Raw genomic sequence first — 22,350 nt, forward strand, 5'->3', positions numbered from 1 at the left:
CCAGGTTTAAAACCAGCCTGGGCAATATGGCGAGACTCGGTCTCTACAAAAAAATAAAATATATAGCACACATATAAAAATTAGCTGAGTGGGGTGGCAAGCACCTGCAGTCTCAGATACTCAGGAGGCTAGGCTGGAAGATCTCTTGAGCCTGGAAGGTGGAGGCTGCAGTGAACCATGTTTGTGTCACTGTACTCCAGTCTGGGTGACAGAGTGAGATCCCATTTCAAAAGTATATATAAATTCCAGATGTATTATAGACTTAAATGTGAAAGGCAAAAACTATAAAGCCTTTAGAAGATAATACAGATGGCTATCTTCATGACCTTGAATTAGGAAAATAGTTCTCAAACATGAACCATGAAAATTGATAAGTCTTTCTACAACAAAGCTTAGAACTACTATTCATTTAAAACACAGCATTAAAAGAGAACAAAGGGAAAGTCACAGAGTAGAAGATATCTCCAACATACATTATCAACAAAGGGCTCAGCTAGAAGATGTAGAGAACTTGTACAAACCAATAAGAAAAAAAGAGACCACCTAGTAGAAAAATGGGTGAAGCATTCATTTTACAAAAGAGGAAATCCAAGGCTTTAATAAACATAAAAAAAGGTTTAACCTTCTTAGTAGCCAGGGAATACAAATTAAAACCACAAAGGATAGCATTACACAACCCCTAGAAAGTCTTAAATGAAAAAGACTGATAATACCAAGTGTTGAAGAGAATATGGTGCAAGAACTCTCATACTGCTGATGGAGGAGGTGGGAATTGCTACAACTGTGCTGGAAAGTATTTTGGCCCTAACTGGTAATGTTGAAGACATGCAGGCAATATGACACAGTGAGTCCACTCATGGAAATATATATGCCCACGTGGAATATGTGCACATGTACAACAGGAGATGCATTCAAGAATATTTATAGTGGCGTTATTCAAAATATGTATAATATTTCATGATAAAAAGGTTTAAAAACAGTGATTTTAAAAAATCAGTATTCAATATATGTACAGTATCAACTGTCTTCGTAAAAAAAATTAAGGATATTTTCTTTTCTTTTCTTTTTTTTTTTTTTTGAGACAGGATCTTAACTCTGTCGCCCAGGCTGGAGTGCAGTAGCTTGATCTTGGCTCACTGCAACCTCTACCTCCCGGGTTCAAGTGATCCTCCTGCCTCAGCCTCCCTAGTAGCTGGGATTACAGGCACCCACCATCACGCCTAACCAATTTTTGTATTTTTAGTAGAGACAGGGTTTCACCATGTTGGCCAGGCTGGTCTTGAACTCCTGACCTCAGGTGATCCACCCGGCTCGGCCTCCCAAAGTGCTGGGATTACAGGCTTGAGCCACCGCGCCTGGCCAGGATATTTTCTTTTTTTCCTTTGTTTTTTTGAGACAGAATCTCACTCTGTCGCCCAGGCTGGAGTGCAGTGGTGCAATCTTGGCTCACTGCAACCTCTGCCTCCCGGGTTCAAGCAATTCTAGTGCCTCAGCCTCCTGAGTAGCTGGGATTATAGATGCCTGCCACAGTGCCTGGCTAATTTTGTATTTTTAGTAGAGATGGGGTTTCACCATGTTGGTCAGGCTCATCTAGAATTCCTGGCCTCAAGTGATCTGCCCAGTCGGCCTCCCAAAGTTCTGGGATTACAGGTGTGAGCCACTGTGCCTGGCCTCTTTTTTTACTTTTTTGAGATAGGATCTTGCTCTGTTGCCCAGGCTGGAATGCAGTGGTGCAATCACGGCTCACTGCAGCCTCAAACTCCTGGGCTCAAGGGATCCTTCCCGCCTCAGCCTCCTTAGTAGCTGAGACTACAGGTGCACACCACCATGCCCAGCTAATTTTTAAATTTTATTTTTACTTTTTTGTAGAGATGGTGGTGCAGGAGGGTGTCTCACAGTGTTGCTCAGGCTGGCCTCAAACTCCTGGGCTCAAGCAACCCTTTCACCTCTTAAGTAGTTGGGATTACAGGCATGAGCCACAGCACCCAGCTGTAAAAACTTTTGCCCAGGCTGGAGGGCAGTGGTGCAATCATGGCTCACTGCAGCCTCAAACTCCCGGGCTCAAGGGATCCTTCCGGCCTCAGCCTCCTGAATAGCTGAGACTACAGGTGCACCCCACCATGCCCAGCTAATTTTTAAATTTTTAAATTGTATTTTTACTTTTACTCCTCCCTGTCCATCTGAGTGTTTCCTGTTCCCCGGGACTGTTCTCTGTGGCCCTGCAACTGCTCTTCCCTCCCTCTGGCTTTCCCCGCTTCCCTTGCTGCTTCCTGTACAGCTGTTTGCTGCCTGCCCAGATCTGTCCCTGCTCCCTTTGCTGGTCGTTGTTCCCTCTGACTTTTCCTTGGTCCCTCTGTTTCCTATTCCCTCTAAATGTCTCTTGTTCCTTCCGAGTACCCCCGTTCTTTTATCGCTTTCTTTGACTCTACCTGGATCGCTCTAACTATTCATGCCTCCTGTTTCCTGTTCTGACTGTCCTGTGTTCCCTTTGTTGTCCCTCCAGCTGATCCTTGTTCTGTGGCACCATTCTGATTGTGTGCTAGTCTACCTGACTGTTCCCTGGTCCCTAAGGGCCTTTCTTGTTCCTTCCAGCTGTTCCTGGCTCACACAGACTGACTGCTGTTGGATTCTGCTGACTAATCTCTAGTCTCCTGATTCTTCCCTGTCCTTGGACAGTTCCTTGAGTACATTTCTTTCTTTCCATTCTTTCCTTCTTTTTCTTCCTCCCTTCCTGTTTCTGAGACAGGGCGTCACTCTGCCACCCAGGCTGGAGTGCAGTGGCACAATCACGGCTCACTGCAGCCTCCACCTCCCAGGCTCAGATGATCCTCCCACCTCAGTACCACCCTACCCGGCTGATTTTTTTTTTGTATGTATATATATATATATATCACACACATATATATATATACACACACACACACACACACATATGTGTACACACACACACACACACATACACACACATATATTTATTTATTTTGTAGACATGGGGTTTCACCATGTTGCCCAGGCTGGTCTTCAAACAATCCTCCCGCTTTGGCCTCCCAAAGTGTTGGGATTACAGGTGCGAACCACCGTGCCTGGCCATTGAATACATTTCTACTATGCTCTCCCGTGATGTTCATGCATCTGGTCTGTGGACCACACTTTGAGTAGTACCTAACTAGCTAGCTTATGCCCTTACCCACTAAAGTGCACTATTGCGTGTTCTATGCCACAGCTGGATTCTGTACTTCCACTGCCTCCATTACTCAACATTACATCTAACTATTGGCTGGTTCCTCTGATTGCTTCCTGGGTAGGGTGACCAAGTGTCTCAGTTTGCCCAGGAATGTTCCTGTTCTAGCACTGGAAGTCCCATGTCCCCTCAGTCACAGGCAAACCAGGATGGTCCTGGGAACTCTGGCTGTTTCCCAGACTCTCCAACTGTGCCTTCACCCCAGTAACTACTGCATGGGCCCTCGGGCTGTTAACTCGCTTCAGTTATACCATTCTTTCTGGCTCTCCTCTAGTCTCTCTAGCTGGCCACTGGTCAATCAGGCTGCTACCCACACTGGATACATGTTTAATGCTCACTTGACTTGTTCCCTAGTTCCTCTGGTTACTTCCCAGGGCCTCTGGTGGACCCTCAGCCCCAAGCACATTTTGGCTGCTCCCTCTGGCTGCCCCCCAGCCTCAGTGACTGTTCCTTGCTCCAGGTGTTCCACAGTACTCTAGGCCATTCTGCAGCTTCAGAGGCTCTTCTCTCATCTTTCCACCTGTTCCATGGGCTCTGTCCCTTCCCTGATCCCTCTGCCCATTCTACAGCCTCAGCAATTGTCTCCTGCTTCCTCTGACTGCAATCCATTCTCTGGGTCGTATTTCACATTTCTTGTTCCCTGGTATCACTGTCTTTTGCCTGTGCCCTCAAGCTCTCTTCTAAACCAAGGAACTGCTTCCTGGTTCCTCGGGAAGTTGCTTGTCCCTCAGGCTCATACCCAGTTCCTTGGATATGTTTGCCTTTTCCATTTTATCTGATTCTTCTGCTTCCTCACCCCTCTGGATACTGACTGCTCCGTCTGGCTGCTATTTGGTTCCTCTATTTCCTGATACCTCCTCCTATTTCATGATCCTTCTCACTGTTCTTTAACCCTCGGCTCTTCCCTGCTCCTCAGTGATCACCACTTCTCCAGCCTCAGAAACTGTTTCTTGGTCTCTGGCTCCAGCGTCTGACTCATGTCCTGTTTGCTTCATTATTCTTCCACCTATACCCTGGACCCCTTGGCTATTCTTCATCTCTAGTAAGTGCACCATGGTACCTGTTCCTTATTCCGTTGTGACTCCTCCCAGCCCTCTTTACCTTACTGATCCCTCTGCTTCTTCTCCATCTTCAGCCACTGTTTCTTGGTACAACTGGCTGCTCCTCAAACCCTGGGGATATTTTTATTGGTTCCTAGGTATCTCTGCCTATACCCCGCTCCCTGATGTTTAATGAAAAAACCAAGAACCTAACCAATAAATAAGTCAATAAATAATATTCCCCCCAGGGTCTCGGTCATTTCCATCTCTTGAGGTGGGTCAGAGATCTGTGGTTGGGAAAGAAGAGATGAATGGAGAAATGTGCCTTGCAGAGCCCAGAATCATTCGTCTAGAAATCCCTACTATTGGCTGGGCAAGAGGCCATGTGCAGGAGTGGGGAGGACCACATTGTCATGGCCCTAACCTGTGGGTCCGTGACTGACATGATTGAGCAGAGCTTAGACAAGGTTGAAGTGTACTACTGTCAAGCATTGATTCCCTTGCTATTTAATGACCCTATACCTTTGACTCAAAAACATAATTTCAATGACTTGACAGAAAGATTTATTTATTTACTATTTATTTTGAGATGGAGTCTCACTCTGTCACCCAGGCTGGAGTGCAGTGGTGTGATCTCGGCTCACTGTAGCCTCAACCTCCTGGGCTCAAATGATTCTCCAACCTCAGCCTCCCAGGTAGCTGCGACTACAGGTGCACACCACCACACCTGGCTAATTTTTGTATTTTTGTTGAGATAGGGTCTTACTATGTTGCCCAGGCTGGTCTCAAACTCCTGAGCTCAAGTGATCTGCCCGCCTTGGCCTCCCAAAGTGCTGGGATTATAGGCATGAGCCACCATGCCCAGCTGGCAGAAAGATTTAAATGTAGGAATTTTATCATAGCAGTTTTAATCACAATAGAAAACTTGAAATACCCTAAATGCACATTATTAGTGGACTGGTTGTGGGGGGATGGGGAGACATTGGTCAAAGTATACAAAGTTTTGTTAGAGGGAATAAGTTTTTGAGATCTATTGCAGTTTGGTGGCTATAGTTAATAATGATGTAATGTTATTTCAAAATTGCAAAGGGAGCAGATTTTAAATGTTCACATCACCAAAGAAATAAGTCTTTGAGGTAATGGATATGTTAATTAGGTTGATTTAAATATTCTACAATGTATACAAATATCAAAACATCACATTGTACACCATAAATATACATAATTATTATTCGTCAATTAAAAATAAAATATGCAGGGTATGGTGGTGACTCAAGCCTGTAATTCCAGCACTCGGGGAGGCCAAGGCAGGAAGATCACTTGACCCCAGGAGTTTGAGCCCAGCTGGGTGTGGTCCCATGTGCCTGTAGTCCCAGCTACTTGGGAGGCTCAGGTGGGAGGATCGCCTGAGCCCAGGAGGTTGAGGCTGCAGTAAGCTGAGATTGCACCACTGCACTCTAGCCTGGGCAACAGAGGGAGACTGCCTCAGAGAAAAAACATTAAAATAAATAAATAAAATTAAAAAAATAGTGAACTGGCTAAATTATGGACATCATAAGTGTATGAAGAAAAATACTTGCTGCTTAGCAAATTATGTTAAACTGCCCAGTTAAAAATGAGGTAACCAAAGAGTATGATTCTGTTTTAAAACTTTAGCTATATATGTGTATGTGTATAGTATGTAGCACACTCTGGCCCCACACGTATACTCACACACATGCACACATGCACATACAAAGGAAAAAACAACTGAAAGGAAATACAGCTAAATGTTAACACTGGTTAACTTTGGGTAATGTTGGAACGACAAGTAATTTTTTAGTTTCTTCTATTTGCTAACGTATACTTTCTAATATTTTATTATGAAGTTATAAAATGACCAAAAAAAAAAATTTAAAAGTTTAATATTATCCTAATGACTGCATGACCCTGAGTCCCTGAGATAATGAACCCTTCCAGAGCCAACAGCATCCACAGGTAGGTCTGAAAGGAGGGAGCTGTCGGGCAGGGTCTGGCTCGCTCGTGGTCCTCCTCGGCTTATAGAATCTCAATGGGAACTCTGATCTGAAAGGGAGCTCTGAGCGGGAAACCTGATCTCAGCTGTGGTGCGGTGAGGGTGGAAGACACAGTCAGGAGACCTGGCTCCAGTCTAGTGTTGTCACCGCCAACTTGAGAGGCCTGGGCGAGTCATGTGTCTTCTGGGGCATTTTATTCATCTTTTTTTTTTTTGAGTCTCACTCAGGCTGGAATGCAGTGGCATGATCTCAGCTCACTGCAACCTCCACCTCCTAGGTTCAAGCCATTCTCCTCCTGCCTCAGCCTCCCAAGTAGCTGGGATTACAGGCATGTGCCACCACATTCAGCTAACTTTTTGTATTTTTAGTAGAGATGGGGGTTCGCCACGTTGGTCAGGCTGGTCTTGAACTCCTGACCTCAAGCAATCCACCCACCTCGGCCTCCCAAAGGTGCTGGGATTACAGGCATGAGCCACCGTGCCCGGCCATTTTATTCGTCTTTGAAAGAAGGGACAGCCAGAACGGCCCCAGAGACTGTGGTGGCCCTACTACCCTGCCAGTCTCTAAGTTCCAAAGAAAAAGGATTTTTCTCTACCTAAATCAGGATAGAGGAGAAATCGCCAGATCCCCAGAGACCTGGGGGAAAGGGGCACTGGTGGGGATCAGCCGACATCTGTAAAGAGCCGATGGAGAGGGAAGGGTTGGTGCTGTGGTGGGGGATGGAGGCTCCCTGGCTATGGATAGTGGCTGCTTCTACCTGGACCTCACCCTCATTTGCCCTGCAGGGAGCTGCCCCCACTCCCTAGGCTGTAGGGCTCACCTTCCACATTCTCCCTCTCCTCTAGTGTAATCAGCCACATTACACTGTCCACTGAAACACACGGGGCTTTGGATGTGGCCTCATCAGCCAAGTGGTGCTCACTCTCAGCAAGAGGACCCTGATCTGTCTCCAGGGTGGCAGGTCCGGAATCTGCCACTTCCTCTGACTCACCTGCTTCTGCCCTTAGGCCCTGGGGACAGGTCAGGGTATCTCTTCACTGAATGAATTCTTGCCTCTGGGGTCCTCTCCCTCCTCACCTCACATGAGCTGCCACGTCCCTCTGCAGCCAGGGCCGGGGACCATGGGGGAGAGTCCCCATTAGCTGCCATGTTCACGCTGGGCCTCAGCCCTCAGGCTCTCCTGCTGACAACCCCACTCTTCCCCAAGCTGGAAGCTGAGCTGGCATCTGTGGACTCAACCGGAGCTGCTGGGGCGAGGCAAGCAGGGGTCAGAAGGAAGATCCTGCAGTTTCCACTAAGAAGCCTGGCCCCCAGACTCTGCAGAGGCTCCAAGAAACCCTGGAAAGACAGTGTCCACATGGTCATCACTCCACGTTCACTCACAAATGTTTTCTGGTGGTGCCCAGGGGCCGCTCACTGTGCTGGATGCTGCGGAAGAGAAAAGTTCGGTAAAACCCACACCAAGTATTAAAGCAAAACATGGGGAAAATTCACAAGATCTGGTGTAAAATGAATGAGGGTTTGTATTTAAGCTCTTCTATGTTCTAGCTAGAATTTGGGGAAGTCACTTTATGTGAAGTTTCTTCATCTTTAACAGGATGAAAATACCTATCTCATAGGGTTGTTAGAATTAAATGAAATGATGCTTCTACGCACACCTACTTGGTACCTGGAACATGCTCAACTCATATTAAATAGTGCTATTATTACAAGGTGCGAGGCATGTTTTATTAGGTACCTCATTTAATTTTCACACTCATCCTGTGGACTAGGCATTACTATTATTACTAATCCCATTTACCATCAGATAGAGCTGTTCAGAAATATTAAGAAATTTGCCCCAGGATCACTCAGATAAGGGGGAAGGACAAGGATTCAAACCCAGGTATGCCTGGCTCCAAAGCATACTTTCTTAACTATTGAGCCATTTGGTACTCTATACATGGCAGAATCACAATAAACACTGTGGTTCCTGCTACCTTCAAAGTGCTCTGGCTGAGGGGTGACCATGCCACTTGAGCATAAACTGAGCTTCTGTGTAATTCAGTGTACATTCTATGCAAAGGATAGAGCCCATCTTCTTCTGTCAAAGATGAAAACTCATACTTATCCCTTCCCATCAGGCCCTGAAAACCTGCAGGTCTGCACAGGCTCCCAAATCCCTATAGCCCACACCGTTGACAAAAAACTGTGTCCCAAATGGTGTCATCAACTGGTTTCCACAGGCTCCTCAAATTATCACCAACCCAGGCAGCACACCATCAATAGGATCAATGACTCCCATAAAACCCTCAGTAATAGAAGTTCTAGTCCATTACAAAGCAACTCACACAGTACTATGATAACCAATGTCCATAGGTCCCAATCCAGGACTGCTACAGGCCCCCCAAAACTGACTTGTAATCCCTGTGAATCCCAGACTTGCAATCATTCACCACCTTAGCACCCCAATCAATAAACTCTCATGGACTGAATCGATGACCTCAGATACTGACATTTCCAACACTTCCAGGCAGAACCAACACGTCATTTACAAGGAAAAGGGATCACAATGGCACTAGATTTATTTGCAACAACAGAAGCCATGTTAGAAGAAAACTCTACAAATCATTGAGACAGAAGGACTGACATCCAAGAATTCTAAACCTGCCCTAGCTAGATACCATTCTTTTGTCAGAGCAAAAGAAAGACAATTTTAGCCGGGCGCGGTGGCTCACGCCTGTAATCCCAGCACTTTGGGAGGCCGAGGCGGGCGGATCACGAGGTCAGGAGATCGAGACCATCCCGGCTAAAACGGTGAAACCCCGTCTCTACTAAAAATACAAAAAATTAGCCGGGCGTAGTGGCGGGCGCCTGTAGTCCCAGCTACTTGGGAGGCTGAGGCAGGAGAATGGCGTGAACCCGGGAGGCAGAGCTTGCAGTGAGCCGAGATCCCGCCACTGCACTCCAGCCTGGGCGACAGAGCGAGACTCCGTCTCAAAAAAAAAAAAAAAAAAAAAAAAAAAAAAAAGACAGACAATTTTAGATATAAAAGCATTTCTAGCATTTTATGCCAATATTCCAATCTCAGGAGAACACTCAAGGGAATAGTCTAAACAATGGTAAATGGAATAGAAACAGAAATGTCAAAACAGGAAAGCAGTTTTGAGAAAGGATTCTTGCAATTGATATATAATTATATCTGGATAAAGAAAAACAATGTAATTGGGCATTTGTAGTAAATAAGGCTGTTACTATTAACTATGTGGAAATTTAAAAATTCCCTGGCCGGGTGCCATGACTCACGCCTGTAATTCCAGCACTTTGGGAGGCCAAGGCGAGCGGATCACGAAGTCAGGAGATCAAGACCATCCTGGCTAACACTGTGAAACACTAAAAATATAAAAAATTAGCCAGGCGTGGTGGCACGCACCTGTAGTCCCAGCTACTTGGGAGGCTGAGGCAGGAGAATCGCTTGAACCTGGGAGGCGGAGGTTGCAGTGAGCCGAGATCGTGCCACTGCACTCCAGCCTGAGTGAGAGAGAGAGAGAGACTGTCTCAAAAAAACACAAACAAACGAACAAACAAATTCCCTGGAAAATTTACTGAGTGAAATGAGGAGAAGGCAAATTACAAATTTCCATGGGCAGATATTGGTACCATATTATTTGGATTTAGTAATATAGAAAATATATACAATCATATTTGTAAGGAAGGTAAAGGCAACTACTAGCAGAAATTGATTAAAAAATAATCAAAATTCCAAACAATCAAAATTCAAAAGTAATAAAAACCTAAAAGGAAAGAGAAACATGACTGAGGCCGGGCGCAGTGGCTCACACCTGTAATCCTAGCACTTTGGGAGGCCGAGGCAGGCGAATCACGAGGTCAGGAGTTCAAGCCCATCCTGGCCAACATGGTGAAACCCCGTCTCTACTAAAATTACAAAAATTAGCTGCGTGTGGTGGTGTGTGCCTGTAATCCCAGCTACTCAGGAGGTTGAGGCAGGGGAATTGCTTGAACCCAGGAGGCGGAGGTTGCAGTGAGCTGAGATTGTGCCACTGCACTCCAGCCTGGGTGACAGAGCGAGACTCCGTCTCAAAAAAAAAAAAAAAAAAAAGAGAAACACGACCGGCCAGGCACAGTGGCTCACACTTGTAATCCCAGCACTTTGGGAGGCTGAGGCAGGCAGATTACCTGAGGTCAGGAGTTTGACACCAGCCTGGTCAACATGGTGAAACCCTATCTCTACTAAAAATACAAAAATTAGCCGGGCGTGGTGGCAGGTGCCTGTAATCCCAGCTACTCGGGAGGCTAAGGCGTGAGAATCGCTTGAACCCAGGAGGCGGAGGTTGCAGTGAGCCGAGATCGTGCCACTGCACTCCAGCCTGGGGGGACAGAGTGAGACTCTATTTCAAAAAAAAAAAAAATAGTAAACAAAAAATAATAGGAGAAAAAAAGGAAAAAAAATAATAGGAGGCATAAAATCAAGTATGTTATAATGCAAAGAAATTGAAATGAGTTGAATTCTGCTACAAAAGACAAAGATTATGGGACTGGGCTAAAAAACAAAATATAGTTGCAACATGTCTAAAACAAAATGATGAAGATGTGAAATGAAGCATTTGATAGAAACACACCATATCGTTGATCATTCTTTCCTTAATGGTTGGCTTGTTAGGAAACCTTCACCTACCTCAGGGTCATGTAAAAGTTTTATCATTTTAGCTTTCACATTTAGGTCCACAGTCCATCTGGGAAGGATTTTAGCATGTGGTATGTGTTAGAGTCAAGATTCATTTCTTTCATATGGAAGCAAGATGATCCAGCACCATTTATTGAAAAGCCTACGCATGGCCGGGCACAGTGGCTCATGTCTGTAATCCCAACACTTTGGGAGACTGAGGTGGGTGGATCACCTGAGCTCAGGAGTTCGAGGTCAGCCTGGCTAATATGGTAAAACCCTATCTCTACTGAAAATACAAAAATTAGCCAGGCGTGGTGGCAGACGCCTGTAATTGTAGCTACTCGGGAGGCTGAGGCAGGAGAATTGCTTGAACCTGGGAGGCGGGGGTTACAGTGAGCTGAGATCTCACCACTGCACTCCAGCCTGGGGGGATAGAGTGAGACTCTGTCTCCAAAAAAGAAAAAAAAAAAGAAAAGACTATCCTTTCTCCACTGCTCTGTAGTGTCTCCTTGTGATCATATATGTGGGGGCCATTCCTGAACTCTGTATTTCCATTGGTTTATTTGTCTATTCTGGGACCAGTGTTATAGTCTTAATTAATGTGCTTTATATTAAGTCCTGATAAAGGATACCTAAATTGGACTACATTAAAATTAAGGACTTCTGTTCATCAGAAGATAAAATTAAAAATGTAAAGGCAAATCCTACAGTGGCAGAAGGTAATTGTAATACCTATATTTGACAAATGATTAATATCTCAAATATATCAAGAATGTCTAGAAATCACTAAGAGCCACAGAAAAAGGGCAAAAGGAACAGGCATTTCACAAAGAAAATATCCAAACAGCAAATAAGTTTATAAAAAGATGCTCGACTTCACCAGTTGGCAAGGAAATAGAAGTTAAACTACAATAAGATAATCCTCCACATAATCCTCCATATCTACAATAAGATAATCCCACCAGAAATTGCCAAAATGAAAAAGATGGGAAATAAACAAGAGTGGGCAAGGATGTGGAGCAGCCAAAACTCATAGATTGCTTGTTAGGATCATAAACTAGTACATACACTTTGAAAAACTGTTTGGTAGTATCTATTAATGGTGAATACATGCAACATCCTATGACCCTGCTATTTGACTCCAGTTCTCTCTCACTCAAGAGAAATGCAAATATATGTTTACTAAAAGAGATGATAATGCTCATGGTAGCTTTATTCAAAACTAAAAATTATGTAAATGCCCATCAACATCAGAATGGATAGACAAGTTGTGTTATATTTATACAAGGAAATACTACACAGCAATGAGAAAGAATAAATTGCCATACTCAACAAGCATGAGTCTCATCCCATGAACACTCTGTTAAACTAAAGAAGCCAGACTCAAAAAAGCAATGAAGCAATGCCATATGATTATGTTTAAAAACATGGCTTCTTTTTTTTTTTTTTTTTTTTTTTTGAGACAGAGTCTCACTCTGTCTCCAGCCTGGTGTGCAGTGGTGAGATCTTGGCTCACTGCAACCTCCACCTCCAGGGTTCAAGCGATTCTCCTGCCTCAACCTCCCAAGTAGGTGGGACTACAGGCGTGCGCCACCATGCCCAGCTAATGTTTGCATTTTTAGCAGAGATGGGGTTTCGCCATGTTGGGCAGGATGGTCTCAGTCTCCTGACCCCATGATCTGAGTGCCTCAGCCTCCCAAAGAAAGACACATGGCTTCTTTAAAACTTTTTTTGTTTTTTTTGAGATGGCATCTTGCCCTGTCACCCAGGCTGGAGTGCAGTGGCATGATCTTGGCTCACTGCAACATCTGCCTCCTGAGTTCAAGCAATTCTCCTGCCTCAGCCTCCTGAGTAGCTGGGATTACAGGCGTCTGCCACCACGCCTGGCTAATTTTTACATTTTTAGTAGAGACGGGGTTTCACCATATTGGTCAGGCTGGTCTCGAACTCCTGACCTCGTGATCCGTCTGCCTCGGCCCCCCAAAGTGCTGGGATTACAAGCATAAGCCACTGCGCCTGGCCTACAAAAAAAATTTTTTTTTAGAGACAGGGTCCTGCTCTGTCACCCAGCCAGGAGTGCAGTGGCATGATCACAGCTCACTGCAGCCTCAAACTCCTAAGCTCAAGTAATCGTCCTGCCTCAGCCTCCTAAGTCGCTGGGACTACAGGTGCATGCCACCACACCCAGCTAAAAAACATGACTTCTTGAGAGCTAGTAACATTTCTTCATCTAGGTGGTGGCTATGCAGGTTTGTCTGGTCTGTTAAAAAATCATCAAGCTAAATATGCACAATGTGTGTACTTTTCTGTATTATATTTCAATGAGGATTTAAAACTATACAATTTACTAGGCAAATACCAAGAAAATGAAAGAAGATCTGAAAATACAATTATCGTGGGGGAAATTAAGGTCCAAAGCACTCAACAGATTAACAAAAAAGGGGAATATCTTTTAATAATAAAAGAAACAATAAAGAAGTACTAACTGGCATAAACCTTCAGGATCATTCAACGCATACAAATAAAACCAGCACAAATGCATTAAACCACATGAAGTCTTAAAAATCATAATTGTTTTTGTATTATATTTAACAAGTGTTGCTATTAAGGTTATGCCAGTTTTCAAAAGGAACTCAGGAAATTTATTTTTATGTGTTAAAATGGCATAGATATTATCTTCTTTAAAGTTCAGCTATAAACACATTTAGAACTGGTACCTTTTAAAAATGGTACATTTTAACTATTTTCCTTTCTTTGAATTTTGGTCTTTACCAAATGTTGGAGAGGATGCAGATAAACTAGATCTCTAACATATTGCCAGCAGGAATGTAAAGTGGTACAGCCACTCTGGAAAATAGTTTGGCAGCTTCTTTAAAAACTAAAATACTTATCACTTGATCCAGCAATTGCAATTCTGGGCATTCATACCAGAGAAAGGAAATCTTATGTGTATACAAAAACCTGTACAAGACTGTTCGTTACAGCTTGATATGTAATAGCCTCAGACTGGAAACAAGCAAAATGGCCCTCAATAGGTGAATGGCTAAACAAACTGTAGTAAATCTATAATATGGAATACTACTCAGCAACAAAAAGAAATGAATTATCGTTCTAGCAACAGTTTGGATGGTTTTCAAGGACATTATGCTGAGTGAAAAAACCAACCTGAAAAGATCACACACATTGGGCCAGGCGCGGTGGCTCACGCCTGTAATCCCAGCACTTTGGGAGGCCAAGGTGTGTGGATCACCTGAGATCAGGAGTTTGAGACCAGCCTGGCCAACATGGTGAAACCCCATCTCTACTAAAAATACAAAAATTAGCTGGGCATGGTGGCAGGCACCTGTAATCCCAGCTACTCAGGACGCTGAGGCGGGACAACCACTTGAACCCAGGAGGAGGTTGCAGTGAGCCAAGATTGTGCCACCGCACTCTAGCCTGGGTGACAGAGTGAAACTCCATCTCAAAAAAAAAAAATCACAGACTGTATGGTTCCATTTATATAACATTCTCAAAATGGCAAAACTAGAGAAATGAGAAACAGATGGTTGGTTGCCAGGGGTTAGGGATGGCAGTGGGAGTAAAGACTATAAAAGGTCTGGGTACAGTGGTTTGTGCCTGTAATCCCAGCACTTTGGGAGGCCAAGGTGGGTGGATCGCTTGAGGCCAGGAGTTTGAGACCAGCCTGGGCAACATGGTGAGACCCCCATCTCTACAAAAAATTTAGAAAGTAGCCAGGCATGGTGGCATGCGCCTGTAGTCTCAGCTACTCAGGAGGCCAAGGCGGGAGGATCACTTGAACCCAAGAGTTGGAGGCTGCAGTGAGTGATGATGGCCCTACTGTACTTCAGCCTGAGCAACACAGTGAGAACCTGTCTAAAAAAAAAAAAAAAAAGAGTAGGCCGGGCACAGTTGCTCATGCCTGTAATCCCAGCACTTTGGGAGGCCGAGGCGGGTGGATCACGAGGTCAGGAGATTGAGACCATCCTGGCTAACATGGTGAAATCCCGTCTCTACTAAAAATACAAAAATTTAGCCGGGTGTGGTGGTGTGCGCCTGTAATCCCAGCTACTCGGGAGGTTGAAAAAAAAAAAAGAAATTAAAAGAAGACAACAAAATATTCATGAGAACCCTGATCAAGGTAAAAGAGAAAGGAAAAAAAATATATATATATGTATATATACACCCACACACCTCACAAGCATGCACAGTTTTAGGAGTGAAAAAAGAAGCTATTGCCACAGGTATGGAAATGATCAAGGTAAATTAATGAAGCATTATGCACAGATGCACAAAAACATAACATCTCTAGCAAACATACACTACCAAAATTAATCCCCCCCACCAGAAATCTGTAGAGCAATAATCAGAGAAAATAAAATAGTTAAAATTTGCCATTTTAAAAAAGGCATCAGTTCTAAATGTGTATATAGTCGAACTTAAGAGAATGTCTATGCTATTTTAACACATAAAAAATGGAAATCTCCTGATTTCCTTTTAATAACTGGCATAACCTTAATACCAACACTTGTTAAATATACTAAAAACAAGAAAACTATAAGCAAATTTTTTATAGTGGCAAAAATTCTAAATAAAATATTACTAACTCAGGCCTCCTGGTGCTTACCACAGGCTGTGTTCTTACACTGACTGTATAGAAAAAGAAGTGGGCCTGCCTTCTCTGTTCTTGTACTGACTGTATAGAAAGAGAAGAGCTCCTACCCTATATACACCTCTGCCCAGGCTCTAGTCCTGGTCTGAATTGTGAATGGAGGGACATGGAGTTGAGGAAAAAGAAAAAAATACATTACTAACTCAAATCTGACCATGACTCATAAGGAAAATTGCCTTTGACCAACAGAATTATCCCAGGAAGGCAAGGATGGATCCACATTATATATCAATATCATTCATTACAACAACCAATTTAGGAAAATAACACCATTAGGCTATTACATCAAAAAGGCATCTGACATAATTCAAGAGCCATTCCTAAGAAAAATACAAATCAAGATAGGAACATATGAAAACTATAAGGACACCATCAGGAAAGTGAAAAGGCACAGAGGCTGGGCTGGGCACAGTGGCTCACATCTGTAATCCCAGTACTTTGGGAGGTCGAGGCAGGCGGATCACTTGAGGCCAGGAGCTCGAGACCAGCCTGGCTGAAGTGGCGAAACCCTGTCTCTACTAAAAATACAAAAATGAGCTGGGTGTGGTGATGCGCACCTGTAATCCCAGCTACTTGGGAGGCTGAGGCACGAGAATTGCTTGAACCCGGGAGGCAGAGATTGCAGTGAGCCGAGATGGCACCACTACGCTCCAGCCTAGGCAACAGAGCGAGACTCTGTCTCAGAAAAACAAACAAACAACAACAACAACAAACACCCACAGAAAGAGAGGAAATACATGCAAATCGCATATGTGACAAGGGACTTCTATCGAGATTATCTAGAGAACTCTTACAACTTGATAATACAAAGACAATTCAATTTAAAAATAGGCCAAGGATTTGAATAGATATTTCTTCAAAGAAGATATACAGATGGGCAATAAGTACAGGAAAAGATGGTCAACATCAGTGGCCACTAGAGAAATGGAAATCAAAACCACAAGATACCACTTCACACCTACTAGGAAGGATAGAATTAAAAAGACAATAAGCATTAGCAAGGATGTGATAAACTGGAACCCTCATACATTGCTGCTGGGACATAAAGTGGTGCAGCCGTTTTGGAAAATGGTTTGGCAATTCTTCAAAATGTTAAAAATAGAAGGCTGGGCGCAGTGGCTTATGCCTGTAATCCCAGCACTTTGGGAGGCTGAGGCGGGTGGATCGCTTGAGGTCAGGAGATCGAGACCAGCCTGGCAACATGGTGAAACCCCATCTCTACTAAAAGTACAAAAATTAGCTGGGCATGGTGGTGGGTGCCTGTAATCCTAGCTACTTGGGAGACTGAGGCAGAAGAATCCTCAGCCTCCTGAGTAGCTGGGACTACAGGCACGCGCACCACACCCAGCTAATTTTTGTATTTTTAGTAGAGATGGGGTTTCACCATGTTGGCCAGGCTGGTCTCGATCTCCTGACCTCATGATCCGCACGCCTCGGCCTCCCAAAGTGTTGGGATTACAGGCGTGAGCCACAGCACCCGGCCTTTTTTTGGAGACTGAGTCTCGCTCTGTCACCCAGGCTGGAGTGCAGTGGCACGATCTCTGCTCACTGCAACCTCTGCCTTCCGGGCTCAAGCGATTCTCCTGCCTCAGCCTCCCAAGTAGCTGGGATTACTGGCGCCCGCCGCCACGCCCAGCTAGTTTTTGTATTTTTAATAGAGATGGTGTTTCACCATGTTGGCCAGGCTGGTCTCAAACTCCTGACCTCAGGTGATCCACCCACCTCGGCCTCCCAAAGTGCTGGGATTACAGGCGTGAGCCACCGTGCCCAGCTGGAATGCCACATTCTTACTATCAAGGCCAGGAAATTGAGAGCAAGAGAATTGTGTACAGATCTTATGAAAAATAACTTTTTTTCTTGGAGAAATAAGCCAAAAAAATTTTTTAAAACTCTTATGTTTTAAGCCTCCCCACATAACTGAGTTGCTTTTTCACAACTTAAGTATTCTTTGTCCAATCCAGTATATAAGTGATTGACTCTAACTACTACTTTGGGTCTTCATTTCTTTATGAAGGCTCCTGTGCCACATAAAACTTGTATTAAATAAATCTGTACACTTTTCTCTGTTGATCTGTCATATGTCAATTTAACTTTCAGGCCCAGACAAAAAGAAATCCTAAAAGGGAAGAGGTAAATTTCTACCTCACTCCTTATACCAGTCATTCCACTCCTGGGTATCCACCCAAGAGAAATGAAAACATATGTCCATACAAAAACTTGTACGCAAATGCTCATAGCAGCATTATTCATAATAGCTAAAAAGTGGAAACAACCCAAATGTCCATCGACTGATGAATGGATAAACAAAATGTGGTGTATCCATACAATGAAATATCATTCAGGAATAAAAAGACATGAAGTACTTCTAAAATAAACTGATAGAAACAGATAGTAGAATGGTGGTTGCCAGGGGCTGAGAGGAGGGGGTAATAAGAAGTTGCTATTCAACGGGTTAAAATTTCAGGTATACAAGAGGGAAGTTCTAGAGATTGGCTGTATATTGCACCTATAGTTAACAGTACTGTATTGTGCACTTAAAAATTTAAGAGAATACGCCACATGCGGTGGCTCACACCAGTAATCCCAGCACTTTGGGAGGCCGAGGCAGGTAGATTACTTGAGGTCAGGAATTCGAGACCAGCCTGACCAATATGTTGAAATCCTGTCTCTACTAAAAATACAAAAAATTAGCCAGGTGTGGTGGCACGCACCTATAGTCCCAGCTACGTGGGAGGCTGAGGCAGGAGAATTGCTTGAACCTGGGAGGTGGAGGTTGCAGTGAGCCGAGATCATGCCACTGCACTCCAGCCTGGGTGACAGAGCGAGACTCTGTCACAACAAAACAAAACAAACAAACCAAATTTAAGAGGGTGGCTTTCATGTTAAGTGTTCGTACCACAACAAACAAAATAATAAAAGGAATAAGGTCCTAATACATACTATAACACGGATGAGCTTTGAAAACATTAGGCTAAGTTAAAGAAAACAATCATGGCCGGACACAGTGGATCATGCCTGTAGTCCCAGTACTTTGGGAGGCTGAGGTGGGCGGATCACCTGAGGTCAGGAGTTCAAGACCAGCCTGGCCAATGTCTCTACTAAAAATACAAAAGCTAGCCGGGCGTGGTGGCAGGCGCCTGTAATCGCAGCTACTTGGGAGGCTGAGGCAGGGAGAATTGCTTGAACCCAGGAGGCGGCAGCTGCAGTGAACTGAGATCCGGCCACTGCACTCCAGCCTGGGCGACAGAGTGAGACTCTGTCTAAAATAAATAAATAAGGCAATCATAAAAGACCACGTTTTATGATTCCATTTATATAAAATGTCTAGAATAGACCAATCTATAGAGACAGGAAGTAAATTAGTGGTTGCCTGTGGCTAGGGGTGAGGGTTGGGAATGAGGAATGATTGCTAATGGGTACGATGTTTCCTTTTGGGATGATAAAATACTCTAAAATTAGATTGTGATGATGGTTGCACAATTCAGTGAATATGCTAAGAACTGCTGAACTGTAAGCTTTAAATGGGTGAATTTTATGGTAGATGAATGATACAATAAAGCTGTTAGAAAAAAAAAATCATAGCTAGTAAGTGCCAAGCAGGGTTGCAAAGCCAATGTCTGGCAAGGGGTAGGTATTCAATAAATGTTTATTGAATAGATTAATGAATAAACACCTTTCACATTCAAATAAAAAATGCCCAAGTTATTTTCATTAACATTAGCAACAAGATAGCAAATACCCTCTATTAAATGTCACTCAACATTGTTCTGAAAGCTCTAACTAGTGCAACAGAAGATGAGGTGATCAGAATAAATATTTGAAAGGAAGAGACAGTATCATTTTTAATTGGATGGAATACGATAGCTAGGAAAAGTAAGAGACTGTAAAAAGCAACTACATTCATATGATAATTTGGTAATTGGATTGAATATGAAATAAAATTATAAAAATAGATTTTCCCTATGGAAATAGAAAAAAAATATGCTATTCACAATGATGATAAAAACAAAGGTAAAATATCTAAGGATGAACTGTTAAAAAAAAAAAAAGGTGTTGGACCCATAAGAAAACTATAAAAATTATAGTTTTAGTGGTTATTTTTGAAACTAGATAAAATAGTTTTAACATTTACATGGAAGAATAAGGCTGGGTGCGGTGGCTCATGCCTGTAATCCCAGCACTTTGGGAGGCCGAGGCACGCAGATCACGAGGTCAGGAGTTTGAGACCAGTCTGGTCAATATGGTGAAACCTCGTCTCTACTAAAAATACAAAAATTAGCTGGGCAGGGTGGCACGCGCCTATAGTCCCAGCTACTTGGGAGGCTGAGGCAGGAGAATTGTTTGAACCCGGGAGGTGGAGGTCGCAGTGAGCCAAGATTGCGCCACTGCACTCCAGGCTAGGTGACAGCAGAGCAAGACTCCATCTCAAAAAAAAAAGAAGAAGAATAAACGCACAAGAAAATTAATTAAAGCAACCAAAAAGAAAGCAAGGGGGACTAGTTCTACATGATGTTAAAACTATTTCTAAAGTCAATATGATTTTTTAAAAAGGAGTAGATACATATATCAGAAGAACTAAACAGAGTTCAGAAATAAAACAATACACATTTGGGAACTTATGTGACAAAAGTGACATTTAATTGAATTAGAAAAGGGTATTCATTTAACGACTGGTGCTGGAAAATTAGCTATCCAAATGGAATATACGAACTGATTCCATCTCATACCATACACCAAAATAAATTCCAGTTAGATTAAAATTTAACTTTAAAAAATTGAAATAAATATATTAAAAATAAATTTAAGGCGTATTTGTTTGAACATGAAATGAGGAAGTCACTAGGCAAGACAAGACACTCAGAACCTGTAAAGGAAAAAGGCAGATATATCTTAATAGATGATTTTTTAAAAATCAAATGTGAAGACACCTTTCAAAGTCAAAATATAGAGATAGAGGAAATATAGTTACAATATAGGTTAATATTCACAAATTAGTAAGAAAGACAAACCACCTAAAGGAAAAAAAGGGCAAAGGATATGAAAAAGTTTAAATATATATTTCAATGGCCAATAAGAATGAAATAATGTTCAGTCACTAGTTGTCAGGAAAACGCACATCAAGGCAAACTAGATACCCTTGTGTTTGGCCCTCAGAATGGGGTAAATTAAAAAAAAATCCAATGTGGAACAGGATTTTGGAAGAAGCCTTCTCATATGTTGCTGGTGGGAGTTCCAATTTTACAAAAGTTTTGGAAAGTAGTTTGGTGGTATGTATTGAACTTAAAAGCATCATTCCTGCACGTAATGATCACTCAGGTGACAGCCTCTAACCACAATTTAGAAATCAATAACAAAAATGTCAACGTTTTGGGAAATCAAAATCTCATATCTAAATAACCCAGTGGTAAGAGTGAACATTGCAACTGCAATTAGAAAACATTAGAAGGAAACTATAGTGGAGATGCTACATATCAAAACTTGTGGGTCAGATGCTCACGCCTGTAGTTCCAGCACTTTGGGAGGATGAGGTGGGAGGACTACTTGAGGATTGCTTGAGGCCAAGGAGTTCAAGACCAGCCTGGGCAACATAGCAAGACCCCAATCTCTACAAAAAATTTAAAAATTAGCTGGGCAAGCCTGCCTGTAGTCCTAGCAACTTGGGAGGCTGAGGTGGGAGGGTCACTTGAGCCTAGGAGGTTGAGGCTGCAATGAGCCATGATGGTTTCACTGCACTCCAGCCTAGGCAACAGAGAGAGATTCTTGTATCTTTAAAACAAAAATCAGCCTGGGCAACATAGTGAGACCCCGTGTCTACACAAAATAAAAAATTAGTGGGTGTGGCAGCACATGCCTATAGTTCCAGCTACTTGGGAGGCTAAGTTGGGAGGATCGACTGAGCACAGGAGGTTGAGGCTGCAGTGAGCCATGATCGTGCCACTGCACTCCATCTCTGGGCGACAGAGTGAGACCCTGTCTCAAAACAAAATAAAACCGAACAGCAGCAACCACAACAAAACATGTGACACGGAGCTAAAGTGTTCTTAGAGAAAAATTTATAAACTGAATGTTTATATTATAAAATAAAATGACTGGATAGTAAGATAAGCATTAAATTCAGGACTTTAAAAATGAGAACAAAATTAAAAAACAGAAAAGAAATAACGAAGTTAAGGGCAGATATTAATGACAGAGAAACAAAGATACAGGAGGACCAACAAAGTCAAAAGTAGGTTTTGAAATAACCTCATCTCAGACCTAAAGACCACCTATCACTGACCCCAGGAAGCTGCATATCTGATTCCACAGCCCCCCATCACTAGTCCCAAAGAAACGCATCACTCACCCAGCAGGAACCTTGGTCAATCACCCAATAAACCCCATCCCACACCTCACAGACCTCCAGTAGTCACCCCGCACAGCCCTTTCTTACCCCCACGGACTTCTCATCACTCATCTCACATATACCTTATCACTCACCCTAGAGACCCTGTATCACTCACCCCACAGACCCCCTTATTATTCACTCCGGTGTCCCCAACACTCATCCCACAGGCTACCCATCAACTTTCTCTAGTGACCCATCACTCACCCACAAACCCCAATCACTCATTCTGCACCTCCCTATAAATGACCCCAGAGAAGCCTCCTTACTCATCCTACTGAGCATCTTCGAGTACAAAATCCATGTCATAACATCCCCATAATTATCTTAATGC

General features: G+C 43.3%; 1 protein-coding gene and 1 pseudogene across 44 annotated transcripts in view; one reads left to right on the plus strand and one right to left on the minus strand.

Moving 5' to 3' along the window:
* ZNF41 (zinc finger protein 41) overlaps nt 1-22,350 on the minus strand; it is a 38,045-nt gene that overhangs the window by 14,859 nt on the left and 836 nt on the right. For 10 of the 44 annotated variants that reach the window (NM_001324147.2, XM_047442476.1, XM_047442472.1 and 7 more), the window contains exon 2: nt 7,374-7,724. The exons of 6 other annotated variants lie outside the window; for them this stretch is intronic. In NM_001324147.2, coding sequence (NP_001311076.1) covers nt 7,374-7,445 — 72 coding nt within the window. In that variant the 5' untranslated portion in view covers nt 7,446-7,724. Of the gene's footprint in view, nt 1-7,287; nt 7,725-9,708; nt 9,807-22,350 lie in introns of those variants that run through there. 28 more of the 44 variants (XM_047442482.1, XM_047442478.1, NM_001324140.2 and 25 more) reach the window with 9 other exon arrangements.
* Nucleotides 15,573-15,744, plus strand: LOC124900499 (uncharacterized; annotated as a pseudogene).

The sequence above is a fragment of the Homo sapiens genome, chromosome X (genome assembly GCF_000001405.40).
Source record: "Homo sapiens chromosome X, GRCh38.p14 Primary Assembly".
Lineage (NCBI taxonomy): Eukaryota > Metazoa > Chordata > Mammalia > Primates > Hominidae > Homo > Homo sapiens.